The sequence below is a fragment of the Homo sapiens genome, chromosome 10 (genome assembly GCF_000001405.40).
Source record: "Homo sapiens chromosome 10, GRCh38.p14 Primary Assembly".
NCBI lineage: Eukaryota > Metazoa > Chordata > Mammalia > Primates > Hominidae > Homo > Homo sapiens.
Genome location: NC_000010.11, coordinates 88472669 through 88488952, shown reverse-complemented (window position 1 = coordinate 88488952; position 16284 = coordinate 88472669). Strand labels below are relative to the sequence as shown.

The 16284-nt window shown below is 34.8% G+C and overlaps 1 protein-coding gene across 15 annotated transcripts in view; it reads left to right on the top strand.

Annotated features, from left to right (window-relative positions):
- The window catches only part of RNLS (renalase, FAD dependent amine oxidase), a 411796-nt gene that overhangs the window by 94366 nt on the left and 301146 nt on the right, over positions 1–16284 (top strand). The gene's annotated exons all lie outside the window — the stretch shown is intronic.

Sequence of the window (16284 nt, the reverse complement as noted above, 5' to 3'; positions counted from 1 at the left end):
CAGTTTAAAAGAGGCCATGCAGTCTGAACTGACTACAAAGAATTTTTTTAAGATCTTTTAAATATTCAGATGCATACATTTCATTTTAAATGTTGGCAGCTTTGCCATTCGCAACTATGACCCAAATTCCTCCTTCAAACATTTTAATTGAAGCCAAATTACTTCACTTTCCGCTTTTACATAATAACGTAGCACACTCACTGCTGTGACTGTAATCACGGAAAATTTGGCTTCTGGCACTTTTGCTCTATTAGCCGTCAACTTTTTTTTTCACATTTAATTTTTCATTTTGCTTGCTCATATTTTAGTATTATGTGTATTTTCTCTAATTTATATATTGTTCTTTACATTTACCTCTTTGAAGTTTTTAAGGTAATTTCCGATCTTTTTTTTTTTTTTTTTTTTTGAGACGGAGTTCTGCTCTTGTTGCCTAGGCTGGAGTGCAATGGCGCAATGTCAGCTCACCACAACCTTGGCCTCCCAGGTTCAAGCAATTCTCCTGCCTCAGACTCCCAAGTAGCTGGGATTACAGGCATGCACCACCATGTCCAGCTAATTTTGTATTTTTAGTAGAGACGGAGTTTCTCCATGTTGGTCAGGCTGATCTCGAACTCCCAACCTCAGGTGATCTGCCTGCCTTGGCCTCCCAAAGTGCTGGGATTACAGGTGTAAGCCACCATGCCCAGCCTCTGATCATTTTTTAACAGATTCATTGAGGTGTATTTGATATACAATAACCTGCACATATCGAAAGTATATAATTTAATGTTTTATATTATGTATACACTCATGAAACCACTTAAAATTGTGAATATATCCATCACTACTCCCCCAAATTTCCTCATGATTCTTTGTAATTCATACCTTCTCCCATCTCCAGCCCTTGCATCCTCAGGTAACCACGGATCTGCCTTCTCTCTATATAGATAGGTTTGCATTTTCTAGAATTTTATATAAATGGAATTACAGATTATGTGCCCTTTTCTTGTCTTAGTTCTTTACTCACAATAATTTGAGGAATCATCTGCATTATTGTATGCATCAATAGTTCATTCCTTTTTATTGCTGATTAGTATCCCTTTTATGGATATACAACTGTGTTTATTTATTCATCTGTTCGTGAAAATTTGGATTATTTCCCATTTGCGACTATGACAAACTGCTATGATCATTTGTGGGCAAGTCTGTATGAACATGTATTTTCTTTTCTCTTAGGTAAATACCTTGGACTGAAATGGCTGGATCATATGTTAAATATATGCTTAAACTTTTAAGAAATTGTCAAATTATTTTCCAAGTGGTTTCACTAGTTTACATTTTCCTACTGGCAGTATATGAGAGTTCCATTTTCTCCACCTTTCTGCCAACACATAGTCTGATAAGTCTTTTGCATTTTAGCCATTTTAACGAGTGTGTAGTGGTATCTCATTATGATTTTAATTTATATTTCTGTAATAACTGATGATGTAGAACATTATTTCATGTGCTTATTTACCATCTATATGTCTTCTTCAGTAAACTGTCTATTCAAATCTTTTATGCATTTTTTTAACCAGTTGCTTCTTATTTTTGAATTTTAAGAGCTCTTTTTTTTTCTTTTTCAAAGATGACTTTATTAAACTTTTATTTTAGGTTCAGGGGTGCATGTGTCATGGCGGTTTATTGTACAGGTTATTTCAGCATCCAGGCACTAAGCCTAGTACCCAATAGGTATATTTTATGCTTGTCTCGCTCCTCCCACCTTCTACTCTCAACTAGGCCCCAGTGTCTGTTGGTCCTGCTTTGTCTCCGTGAATTTGCGTCATTTAGCTCCCACTTATAAATGAGAACATGCAGTATTTGGTTTTCTGTTCCTGTGTTTGCTAAGGATAATGGCCTCTGGCTTCATCCATGTTTTTGCAAAAGACATGATCTCCTTCTTTTTTATGGCTGCATTGTATTCCATTGTGTATATGTACCACATTTTCTTCATCCAATCTGTCATTGATGAGCATTTAGGTTAAATGTTTTACTATTGTGAATAGTGCTGCCATAAACATTTGTGTCCATGTGTCTTTATGGTAGAATGATTTATATTCTGCTAGGTATATACCCAGTAATGGGATTGCTGGGTTGAATGATATTTCTGTTTTTAGGTCTTTGAGGAATCACCACACTGTCTTCTACAATGGTTGAACTAATTTACACTCCCACCAACAATGTATAAGTGTTCCCTTTTCTCTGCAACCTCACCAGCATCTGTTATTTTTTTAACTTTTTAATAGTAGCCATTCTGACTGGTGTGAGACAGTATCTCATTGTGGTTTTGATTTGCAGTTCTCTAGTGATCAGTGATGTTGAGCTTTTTTTAATATGCTTGTTAGCTGCATATATGTCTTCTTTTGAAAAGTATCTGTTTATGTCCTTTTCCCACTTTTTAATGGTTTTTTTTTCTTGTAAATTTGTTTAAGTTCCTTACAGATGCTTGATATTAGGCCTTTGTCGGATGCATGGTTTACAAATATTTTCTCCCATTCTGTAGGCTGTTTACTCTGTTGATAGTTTCTTTTGTTGTGCAGAAGCTCTTAAGTTTAATTAGATCTCATTTGTCAAATTTTACTTTTGCTGCAATTGCTTTTGGCATCTTTGTCATGAAATCTTTGCCTGTTCCTACTTCCAGGATAGTATTGCCTATGTTGTCTTCCAGGTTTTTATTGTTTTAGGTTTTACATTTAAGTCTTTAATCCATCTTGAGTTAATTTTTGTATATGATATAAGGAAGGGGCCCAGTTTCAATTTTCTGCATATGGCTAGCCAGTTATACCAGCATCATTTATTGAATAGGGAGTCCTTTCCCCATTGGTTGTTTTTGACATAGTCTAGATTCAAGTTCATCATTAGATGTATGCTTTGCAACTATTTTCTCTCAGTCTGTGGCTATCTTTTCCTCTCCTTAACAATATCTTTTAAAAAATAAAAATTTTTAATTTTGAAGATGTTCAATTTAAGTATTTGTTCTTTGATCAGAATTAATATTTTATTGGTTAATGACTAGGTTACTTTATACCACTGGTACAATTTTATTGATTTTTAGTACTTTTTTCTTTTGAAAGAAATTTTCAGTGTCAAGATTTCCATTCAGTCGGTGCGTACTGATTTAAAAATTAATGTCTCTTTCTTTATGTCTCTATTTTTTAGATACAAGTTATTCTCACACAGTTATAATTAACCTGCAAAATGAGCTCATACCAGAAAAAGAATATTGTGATTAGAGCAGTAATTTATATTGTTAACTGCAAATGGCTCATATTCGTTTTTTTTTTTTTTTTTTGGTTTTTCATTGTATATAAAGTTCAGGCCTAATATGCCTGTCACAACTAAAAAGAAGAGTGATCTGGTATGGCAATATTGGAGTAATTCTTTTATTATCATAGATTTGATGTTACAAAGATTTTTTCAAACTTTTCTTCAAGAAGTTTTATGAATTTTAGGTTTTCTATTAAGTGTATGATCTATTTTGAATGAATTCTTATATATAGTGTCAGGTATGGCTCAAAGTTCATATTTTTATATGGATATCCAGTTGTTCCAGAACAACTTTTTGAACAGACTCTTCTTTCTCCACTGAATTGCCTTTGTCAAAAATCAATTGCCCATATATATATAGGTCTATTTCCGGACTCTCTACTCTATCCCATTGACCTGATTGTCTGTCTTAACATCAATACCACACTGTCTTGACTAGTATATATTAATAATAAATTTTGAAACCAGACATTCTTCCAAGTTTGTTCTTTCTTCTTGAAGCTGCTTTTTCAATTCTAGGTTCTTTTCTATCCCTATGTGTTTTAGAATCAGCTTTTCAATTTCTACAAAGAAACCTGCTGGGATTTTGATTGGGATTGTGTTGACAGTGTAGATAAATTTGGATACAATTAACGTCTTAACAATATTGAGCCTTCTGACTTATGAAAAAGCATCAAATAACATGAGATGCTTAAGGATAATTCTGACAAAATATATGAGATATATACACTGAAACAAACAAACAAACAAAATTGCTAAGCAAAATTGAAGATATAAATACATGGAGATAAATGCCTCAACTGACTATTTTAAAGTTTTGCCATACTTTAAATGTCTTGTATTTTTTTTCTCTGTCTGGCAGTCCAACTTTAAAGAAGACCTAATAAATTTAAGGGTGTGCTATTTACCTCTACCTTCAGTTACTAATGAAAAAGTGATAGATGGAAAGTTTAGAAAAGTGGTGTTGATAAATAAATTATTCATGAAATCATTAACTGCTCTATATATTATCCAGGCACTTTGTTTTTTCTCTTCTTCCATTTTTCTGTCTTGTGGCACTTACTCTTCTCATTATAATCTTCTGTAGTAGCTAGGAGTGGGGAGAAGAAATGAGACTGAACTCATAAGTTCTTTTTCCCCTTGTTATTAAAAACTTTTATGGAAAAAGATATTGAATGCTGTGTTTAGGGATTTCACTTATCCTTCCTGTCCCCATTCTGTGTTCCTCATTATCATAGATGAGTGAGGATTGATAATAGTGGGAAAGTACAAACATGCACATTTAAATATCAGATTCTGCCTTCTAAATCTGTTAATGTGTTTAATCCATGAATACTCAGAACATATGTGAAGTACATTTCTCAAGAAGGAAGCCTATCTTTTTGAAGAATTTGTCATTATAAAAGATTTAGAATTATGAAATTGGTTAAATTATCTAATAAAGTTGGTTTGGTAGCTGTTGAGATTAAAATAAGCTATTACTAAAACCCTCATGAATTTTTGTGTTATGCATCCTTCATCCTTAAGATTAATAATTTTTACAAAAATTTGTTTTCGGATTTCATCTTGTCAAAGACTTGATATGAGTTATAGCTGAAGTATTGTGTTACCAAGATATGACTTTTCAGAATCGTGTGTTATAATAAATTACGTTATTCACAAGAGCATCTTCAGTAAGACATAACTAACACTATGTTATCTTGGGTACAATAAATAAAGTGAATACATACTGTGATACAATATCCTTAATTATCTTTATTATATTCACTAAATAATTTTCAAAATTAGGTAATCTGCAAAAGAGTCTCAGTTACTACTACCAATTTGTAAGGTTCTTTTGTAATGTAATTTTGAGTAAAATTACTTCCACAGTACAAAATATGAAGGGTTTTTTTAATACAAAATATGTGGTATGAGGTTATTGATTCTCTGGAAAGAAGTGTGAACAAAATATAGCAAGCAAAGAAATGGAAACCAGAAATTGTCAAGAAAAAATGGCATTTGGTCTTTGAGAAACAGAAATATAAAAAACGCAACTTCTATAATAGAAGAAATAATTAAGAGTACCAAGAAAGACTAAAATTATTCAAGTAAACAAGGTCTATGACATACATCATATGACAATTATGAAATTTGTAAATGTTATTACAAAATTAGTAGCCATCAATTGAAAAATCACAGTTAACAAGAAAATTTGCCAAGCGGATTTTAGGAAATTTATCGGGCTTAGGAAAAGGAAATAAAAAAGAGAAATTTTGCCAGCATTTACTGAGAGTCTACTGTGTGCTAAGGCCTGGAATATAAAGGTACAAAGTCAAGACCCTGAGCTCAGAGACTACTGGCTGTGGCCAAGGGATGGGCTTGAAGATGCTTTTCCCAAAAGGGGTTGTAAAGCCAGAAAAAACTGACAAAAATAACCATTTAACAGCTATGGAATCAGACAGAGGCATATGATAATCTGATAAACTTTATCCTTGAAAAACTGCTAAATTTTGAATATATGAAAGCTTCCAGAGGATGAATGCTTTACTGGCTCAAGATGTAGGAGCACAACCTTAGTCCAATCATTGGCTGCCCATTAAACTATACAGTCAGAAGGGTAACCTGTAGGAATCCAGGTTTAAAAATTACAATAAGAATTTTAAAAAGATATAGCAAGACCCTGTCTCTACAAAAAGGAAGAAAGGGATGGAGGAAGGAAAAGAAGGAGAAAGGGAGGAAGGAAGGAGTGAGGGAGGGAAGGAAGGAAGGGAAGGAAAACTGAGCAGGGATATCAGCGGCTACACCCCACAGGGAGACAGATTTCACAGATTTAGCCCTGGCAGGTTACTAAACAAAAAACAAATGGCAACAATAAAAAACAACAACTACTTTCAGGGAAAAGGTTGTACTCCAGAGTTTCTACAATATATTACCTAAAATGTTCAATTTTTAACAAAAATTCAGAGACATGCAAAGAAACTAGAAAGTGTAACCAAGGAAAAAATTATCATAGAAATTGCCTCTGAGGATCCCCAAATGTTAGATTTTGTAGACAAGGACTTCAAAGCAGCTATTATAAGCATGTTCAAAGAACTAAAATTCAGATTTAAAGAATTATAGGAAATTATGACAACGTGACTCAACAAGTAATAAATCTCAATGAGGGGATATAAGTTATAAAAAGAAAAAAGAATTAAATGGAAACTCTGGAGCTGAAAATACAGGACCTGAAATGAAAAAGTCACTAGAGTCTCTCAGTAGCAGATTTGAGATGATAGGAGAGAGAATCAGTTAACTTGAGACAAATCAATAGAAATTATTCAACCTGGAGAACACAGAGAAAAAGACTGAAGGAAAATGAGCAGAGCCTTGCAGAGCAGTGGGACAACATTGAGTGTACCAACATAGACGTAATAGGAGTCTTATAAGGAGAGAAAGCAGTAGAGAAAAAACAAAGTGTGATGAAGTAATGGCCAAAGAGTTGCCAAATTTGAAAGCCAACATTACAGATACAAGAAACCCAATTAACCCTAAGTAGTATGAACACAAAACCATCCACATCTCGACACACAACAGTCAAACTGTTGAGAGCCAAAGAAAATGAGAAAATCTTGAAAGCAGCAAGAGATAAAACAGCTCATGACATAGAGAGGAATTTATGCAATTAATGACTGATTTCTCATTTGAAAGATACTGGAAGAAAAAAAAATCAACGAAGAATTCTATATTCATTAAAACTAGCCTTGAAAAAGTGGAGGTGAAATAAAGACATGACCAAATTTTTAAAAAGACAGGAATCCATTGCTAACAGACCTGTCTTATGAGAATACCAAAGGAAGTCTTTCAGGCTAAAAGTAAGTGACACCAAAAGATAACTCAAATTCACAGAAAAAAAATGAAAAGCAATGGAAATGGTAGATATGTAGGTTAATAATATAAAAGGCTCTGTATTTTTTTCTCACATAGTAACTTCTTTAAAATACATAGGATTTCATAAAGCAGTTATTATAATTATTACTGAGTATATTATCGTTAAGTTTACATACATATATGTAATTTATATGACAGTAATACTGCAAGAAATGGGGAGAGGATGGAGCTACAAATGAGCAGATTTTCTATGTTTCACGACAATTATTTATTATTAGTCTGCAGTTGATTGTGATAAGTCAGGATGCATATTGTAATTGCTAAAGCATCCATTAAGAAAATAATTCCAAATAAATTTAGAAAATCAATATAGGAATTAAAATGGTACACTAAAAATACACTTAACACAAAAAAGGCAGTAAAGAAGGGATAGAAAAACAAAAAAACACAAGAGGCTTAGAAAACAAATAGCAAAATGGAAAATGTAAGTCCAGCCATGATAATTAAATGTGAATGGCCTAAACATCTCAGTCAGAAGACAGAGGTTGACAAACTGGATTTTAAAAAGCAAGATCTAACCAAAATGCTGTCTACAGATATACAATTTAGATTCAAAGACACTAGTTAAAAGTAAGTAGATAGAAAAAGATATATTATGCAAACAGTAACCATAAGAAAGCTGTAGTGGCTATACTGTTACCAGATAAAATAGACTTTAAGACAAGAAATATGCTATAGAGGGCTATTTTATGATAAAGGGTCAATAAACCAGGAATATACAAAAATTATAAATATAAACACACCTGGCAATAGAGCCCCAAAATACATGAAGCAAAAACTGACAAAATCGAAAAGAGAAATAGAACAAATCATGGAACTGAATTGATTAATTTCAGTCAACTAAAAAACATAAAATATTTGGTTGTCACTAGTCATATCTTTGTAAAATAATATTATACCAGACAGATATAAATTCCATTTGTAATAGAACACATACACACACACACACACACACACACACACACACAAAGACACAGGAATAAACAGTACTAATGCAGTTCCATAAGAATTTTAGAAAAGTATGAATTTGGTTTGGCCGGGCACAGTGGCTCATGCCTGTAATGCCAGCACTTTGGGAGGCCAAGGCTGGTGGATCACCTGAGGTCGGGAGTTCGAAACCAGCCTGATCAACATGGAGAAACTCCATCTCTACTAAAAAATACAAAATTAGCTGGGCGTGGTGACGCATGCCTGTAATCCCAGCTACTTGGGAGGCTGAGGCAGGAGAATCGCTTGAAGCCGGGAGGCAGAGGTTGTAGTGAGCCAAGGTTGCACCATTGCACTCCCGCCTAGGCAACAAGAGTGAGACTCCGTCTCAAAAAAAAGAAAAGTATGAATTTGACTGTAGTTTCCCATAAATCTTAGGGAAGGAGAAACTTGACTTATGATCTTATAAGAATCTCAGGAAACAATAAATTAGACTAAAGATTTCCCCTAAGGGGTAATTATCAGAGGTTTTCAACTTTGAAGAACCTCTCAAATTCAGCCTAAAGCTATGTCTAAGAACTTGTACTTAATTGATTACCTAGGTAAAGGAACGTGGAATATGCTTACTAGAGTTAAAGGTCCTGTATGAGGTGACATTTCTAAGATTGTCTCAAAGGTAGAAGTAAAATTTAAAATATGTTATTAAATAGGAAAATAGGCCTATGCAAATTAGATGAAGTTCTGGCAAGCCAAGTACAATGCAAAAACTCAGTAATTTAAGAATATGATAGACCAAGACTGAGTAAGTTTAAGTTTCACAGAAAGAGCTCAAACTAATAGGCAAACACTTGATGAATGTGAGCTTGTGCAGAGAACTAATACAATGCAAGAGTTTATTTAAAAAGAGTGTGACATACAAGTTTTAAGGAAGAATCTTTTTATTATGATCTTTTGGTAAATTTGTATTCATATGTTGCATCTGGATTTTTTTCTACTATACCTTTTAGAAAGTAGGAACTTAAAAAAAAAAAAAAAGAAAAAAAGAAAAGAAAGTCCAGAGAAGAATGGCTGATATGAAAAAGTCATGAATGGAAAATAGGTCCTTCAAAAGGGCAAATAAAAGGAATTTGGGTTACTTTTCTGAAAATGGGAAAGGCTAAGAGATGGCAGCATAATTTTTAAAACTAGGCTAAGAATCAACAGCTGTTATTTCTAGTTCAAGGTCGTCTTTGCTTAGACAAATCCAATGATGATGATGATGATGATGATACTGATATTTCTAAAATTGACACTAATATTTATAGAGGACTAATGCTTACCATTTACATGGGTTGTCTTATTTAACTTCATAATCATATTATGTGGTGAATACTTAAATTAGCTCCATTTTTCAGAATAGAAAACTGTATATAATTTTCCTCAGATGAAAACAGTGCTATTAAAATGTGTCCTACTTACTGCTTCAGGTGGAAACATGAAAATGATTTGCAACACTCTAGCTGCCAAGGTTTATTTGTCTTCCTAAAATTATAGGAATTCTATGTAACGATGCTTCATGATCCAAGTAAGGGAATATTGGCCTCAAAGCAAAGCCATTGACTTTTCGCTCTGATATAATTAAAGGCAACAAGAGGTTGTTGAATACCTGTTATATGCTTAATATGTTTTCAGATGCCATGCTAGGATATACAAAGAAGAAACAAGACTGAAACATATTTAATGTTCTATAATAGTTTTAGCAAATGATTGTTGATCACTATATGTTCATTTAGTCTTCACAACAACCCTATGAAGTAGCTACTATCATCCTCATCTTACAGATGAAGAAATAGTACCTAGTTAATGACAGAACTAGGATTCAAACCCAGGTACTTGGGCTCCTCAGCATGGCTTGAGAGACAGACAGAAAGAGAGAGAGAGAGAAAGAAAGAAAGAGAAAGAAAGAAAGAAAGAGAAAGAAAGAAATGAAAGAAAGAAGGAAAAAGAAAAAAAGGTAAATTAGTTAAGGCTATGTGAAGTCAGGAAAAGGGAAAAGTCATTTTGAACCAGTTTGAACAAGTAGCTTCAGTATCCTTAAAGTGATGGGTTTGTGTGCCAGAAAATGGTACAGAGTATATTATAAGTTGTATGGGAATGAGCAGAGCATATTTCGAGTGAACGGAAGCTGGAAAGGGCAGTTGAGGATGGATAAGCCCTGTGTCTTGTGGGTTTATTTTTTATCTGGGGGGACAGTGGAGAGACTTCAAGTATACCAACCTGCCCAGGCATGCTTTGATGACTAGAGGTATATGTGGGATAAGGTAGGGCCACATATAAAGGGATCTTTAATAACAGAGTGAGGTATTTGAACTTGAGATGATAGGTAGTGAGGGATCATGTGTCATAATGAAACCCAGCCATCTGGTTAAAATTAGCAATTGGCCCTGAGGTGATAAAATACTGGCAAGCTAGGAGTGGGCCTAAAAATGAAATGATGAATCTGACAGAAATGTTGAAGACATATTACCAAATATCAGATACTAACTGGATAGAAGGAATAAGAGAAAGTGGGGAGTCAGATGGGCTCGCGTTTTCAAGCCTAAGAAACTTGGGAGATTAGAATAACTGGCACCAAGAAACTGGGACAAGGAATGCATTTAGGTAGGAGAAAGTAAATGTTTTTTAAATGTTTGAAAGATAACATGAGAGCCATTTTGGAATGGATTTTAAAGTCCTTGTTGATAGTTGACTTCAATCCACAGTAGGTCCTGAGACAGCTAATCTTAAGTTTTAATAATTCTTTACTTTTAAGAAGTTACCAGATAAAAATCTATCCAGGATAAATGTTAATCTATCTGAAATAGGCACTGGGCCATATGGCCTCATAAGATTCCATGCATGATTGCATTCAACAGACACATACTGTGAACCTCCAGCTAGTATTGCATAGTAGTTGGTGTCATAGCTTAGTAATGAACAGTGTGTCCTCTAGAGTCAGGCAGAACTTGGGCCATATCAGCTCCTGCTCTGGACAGCTGTGTGAACTTGGCAAAATACTTACCCTCTATCATTCTGAAGCTTCTTAGATGTGAAACAAAGATCATGATAGCACCCACCTCATAGGAAGGTCATGGAAATTAAGGGGGATGATGCATGTGAAGCCTTTAGCCTAGTGTCAAGCACACAGAAGATGATCAGTGTTATCTGTCACATACCACTGTTATTGTCTTCCACAGTCTTCAAATTTCTGTCATCCCTGTCATCACTATCATCCTTGTCATCGTTGCCATCCTTGTTTCACCATCATCCCTGTCTTCACCATCATCACAATTGTCAGTGTTTACATCAGCGTTGCTGTTGTCACCATCATCCTCTTCCCCATTGTCATCCCCACCATCGCTGTCATCCCCATCATCATTATCTCTGTCTTCACCATCTTTCTCTCCTTCCCTGTCATCCCGGTCATCACCATCATAACTGACATCCCATTGTCACCTTCATCCCTAACTTCACCATCATCCTTATCATCTTGCTCATACCATCAAGGCACCTGCTTTGTTGTTCCTTCGTCAGTTTTTCTGTGAGCAAGTCCTGAATATCAGCACTTTGCACTTTCTCCATAGGGCAGATGTACACATGGAACAGTCTTTGAATGGTTATTGTTAGCTTAGTCACACTGTACCATTTTCCAGTTCTTGTTCTAATAATAGATAGTATCTATTATTTAATGATATTGATACAAAAATATAATTTGCTTGAATTACTCTTGTTTTGGGTTAATCCAAGAATTTGAGTTTCATTTATAATATAGCAGATCAACTGCTTGAAAAAAAAAGGCCACACTATTATCGCTTTCTTACTTTTTGTGGCAAAACTGCACAGCATAAAGCATTTACAAGCTTATCTCTGTTTAAATAAATTTAATTAAATTTGAATTCAGCAGGCCTTGTTGCATAAGAACAACATTGACTTTGCTGTTTGGGTTTGCATGTTTTATGAACATCAGCACCCTGCTAAATGAAGAGTGGAAAACAGGCCCTTCTGAACTACCTCTCAACCCTTTCATGAAGGTTTTTTAAAAAGAGATAATGAAAAGAATTTGACCATTGTTTTATTATTGCTAAATACATATATTTTTGGGAAAGGGGCTTCCTGTTGACCATGTGTTCTTTTAAAACATCAACTTAGTGAGGTAGTTTATATTTTGTCCTGACTTCTGCTTTGAAATATTACAAGATTGTTTGTGTATAAAGTGCCTTTGATGAATAAGATAAAGGAATGTTGCTTTTCAATAAGTCATGTACCCATTATTCTACTTTTTAGAGGGAAAAGCTTTTTATTTACTCTGTTGTCCCCGTCCTCATAATATGCATCAAGATTAAAGGGTATACAGCATGGATAAAAGAATAGCTCCTTGGTGTGGTCCATGGACCAGTGCCCATCAGCAAACTATGTGTAATTAGTTTACAATGGATTAGATATTGAAAAGTGATTAGAAACTTCTGTAGTAATTTGCTATTGTCATGACATCCAAATATATGATTTTTGTATTTAACAAAAATCTAAGTCATCAATGCATTAGAAGTTTAAGAAAATGAAAAACAGTAACAACCACCAAAACAAAAACAAAATGTAAATCCTGTTTCTTCAACATATTAATTTGTTCTGTGAGATTTTAATAGGCATTCCATAAAAAGCACATCCGTTCCTTAGATAGGTTTGGAAGGGACTGATATAAAATAAATCATGTAAGTTATTGTCTTCTGGACTCCCAGGATCTGCATTGTGAACCTCCAAGTGAAGGCAGGGTAAGAAGAGTCTCCTGAATCATAAACCCCTGGATTTATAGAACATCTCCAAAGAGTAATGTCCTGTAGAGGATCCTTTACCTAAAGAGTTAGTATTTTTCTGCTATTTTTAACTTTTCAGTTGCTTCCTATGCAGCTTTAGAATAGGACTATCATTTTTAAAACTTGATTTTTCCCCTTAATTTTTTAATTTTTGAAATGCAGCCTGCAATATTACCATTGTAATCAATGTTACTATTTTTCTAATTTCATGGATTTTGTATTTTCTTAATTAAAAATTTTAAAAGGCTGACCAAATGCTCAAGAAGACACAAAGTCCCACCCCCCAAAAGCCAGAGACCATGTTTTTCCTGTGATCTCTGGATCCTCACAGAGAGTGTAGAGGGAACAGCTGCAGTTTTTAGGAAGGAAAATAATTGTGTTGCAAAATACCTCTTGACATAGGAAGGTGAGATTAGAGACTGAAAGGACATTGGAATGAATCCGAAAAGAAAAGGTTTTTTAATGCTGCTAATAGAAGTTAGAAGAAAAGAAAGGACAACTGAGGGTTAAAAAGATCATTGAAAATGTACTCGAAGAAAATGAAAAAGTGTTCCTTAAATTGCTATTAGATTTCAGGGCTCTGAGGCTAAGATCTAGCCCCAGGAAGAATTTTTAGGGAGAAGATTGCTTCATTTCAAACTAGATTGGGCTTCCTTATTTTTAGCCAGAACACTCAGTTCCAGATGCCTTTCTCTTGAGTTTGATAACATTAAAGCGGCTCGGTTGGTTGCTGGCCATCACTTTTAGTGTGAGGCACTAATAAAGTGTGGAGCAGGTGAAAATCCCAATGAAATTGGGCTAACTCTACAAATGTGTAAAAACAGCTTCATACTTGGAAAAGCCACAGTGAATGCCAGGGCTGCCCTGTCGCCCTGTGTGCCCAAGCCTCCTGACTTCTTCATTACATCTCACATTGTCACCTTTCTATCTTCTTGGATCTCAGCCTCAGTTTCGCCAGTGTCTACTTTCCCTCTGCCTTCAAACATACATGGCAGTCCACTATCTTGTTGCCGGGGGGAGCTGACTACTTTCTCCAACTACTTTTTATATCCTGTTTTTGTAAAACTTCTCAAACAAGGCATCATATTTCTTTGCTACCTGCTTTTCCCCAGTCTCAGGAGTCTGGCCTTAATAATGAGGCAGCAACTATAGCCAACTTGACTAAGAGCTGACTGCACCAGGATCAGTGCTTAGAGCTTGGCATATGTTACTTCATTGAATCCTCAAATAATCCTCTGAGTCAGGTATTACACCTATTGTAATTTTATAGATGAGATGCTCAGGTTTAGATTAAGCAATTTGCTACACAGAGACACTATTGACAGGGCTGGAACAGAGCCCAGGTCTGACTGACCTCAACACATTTTCTTAACTACCTTTTTGTTTACTCAAAAGTGCCAGGAAAATGTTCTCATTTAAGCCTTCCAACTTGAAGAGGTATTATTATAATCCATTTAATACACTTGCTGTGAACTAGGAGAGTCACCGCCTTCCTACAGGGCATTTGCAAATTTGTCCAGGTATTTGGTTGTGGGAATACTGGAGGTGGGAATGCTGCTAGCATTTAATTGCTAGAAGAAGGAGGGACATAGGTGTGGGAACTGCCATGCAATGCTGAGAAATACCTCACGCAACAAAGAATTCTCCTGCCTCAAATGCCAATTATGCCCCATTCAGAAACAATGATAATGGATGAGAATTTAATAATGGATTCAGAAAGCCTAAATAACTTCCCTGAATCTGGAGCCATAAATCAAACTGAGATCTGTCTGGCTCTAAAGGTTGTTTTTTTTTCTGCTCAATTCAACTTCATCTAACAGAACATTAAAATATTATGTATAATTTGATTTGCTCCCACAATTACCATATTTTATATGCAGCATCTCAAATATAATTTATTTAGAGAATACTTAACTAATTTCCTGATTGAATGTTATTTTAATACATTTAATGGAGATAGCATGTATCATAGTATTTGCCAGATTTTCACAAGGATGCTAAAATTTAATGAAAGAAACCATCAACATTGTATTAAACAAGGAAAGCTGCATATTCTGGAACATGCTGTCTTCTGCACTGACAACCAGGAGCAGAAAAGACTCATTTATGAAAGGAAAAGAAGGAGGAAAGAGAGAAGCTTGGTGAAGAAGAGAGGAGAGAAAAATATATATATATGGCTTTTTATTTAATTAGTCTTATACACTGAGCCCTGACCTGTCAATTGCAATGTTTCCTTCCTCTGAAACTTCATTTTTAAAAAATCTCCTTTATAAACATTCTAAGGTCTAAAGGGTTGCCCAAATTTAAATAAGATTTTCTACTTTCTATATTTAAAGACGTCTTCTTAATGTGCTTCTTTCTAAAATAAATGCATGGTATATATTTTTTGTAGCAGTCATGGGTTGTACTAGGCAAAGACCTTGTCATGCTTGGTAAAGAAGGGCTGTGCTTTTCATAATCATAGATTGCATACCTGGACTGTACACTTGAACATGACTCAAGTCTCCAAAGTTTAACCATCATTTTATAACATCAAGGCCTGTGTGCCATATTTGTGTGTGTGTGTGTGTGTGTTTTACTACCCAGAAAAATAAAATGGTAGTTTCTGCTTCACCCAAGTGCCTACATTTGAAACACATATCATGCAAGACAAACTCTCATCTTGAGTTGCTGGTAGGAAAAAAAGGATCTTTCTTTATGCCATTTTTCTTCTTCCTATTTTCACCGTTTGAGATATACAGTCATGTGCCACATAATGGTGTTTCAGTCAACACCAGATCACATATACGTCAGTGGTCCTATAAGATTATCCTACGATATTTTTACTGTACCTTTTCTATTTTTACCTGTGTTTAGATACACAAATACCATTTTGCTACAGTTGCCTACAGTATTCAGTACAGTAACATGCTGTACAGGTTTGTAGCCTAGGAGCAATAGGCTGTATCACCTAGCCTAGGTGTGTAGTAGACTGTTCATCAAGGTTTGTGTTAGTACACTCTATGATGTTTGCAAAACAACAAAATTGCCTTATATTTCTTAGAACATATCCTCACGGTTAAGTTATGCATGACTAGTTAAATTCCCAACATAGACGATTTTCTGGGACCCATAATTAACAGAGAATTTCAGACTTTGTGGGTGATAAGAGTATCTGAGTGCTTGTTAAAAATGTAGATTTCCAAACCCTGTGCTAGAGACTTGAATTCAGTAGCTCTTGGGAAGAGTGAAATGCTTTGTCAACAAGCTCCCCCAGGTGATGGGGTGCCTGTAGTTCATGGAACACACTATGAAGACAAATAGTTTGGTACTTAATAAGCCTCTAATAAAT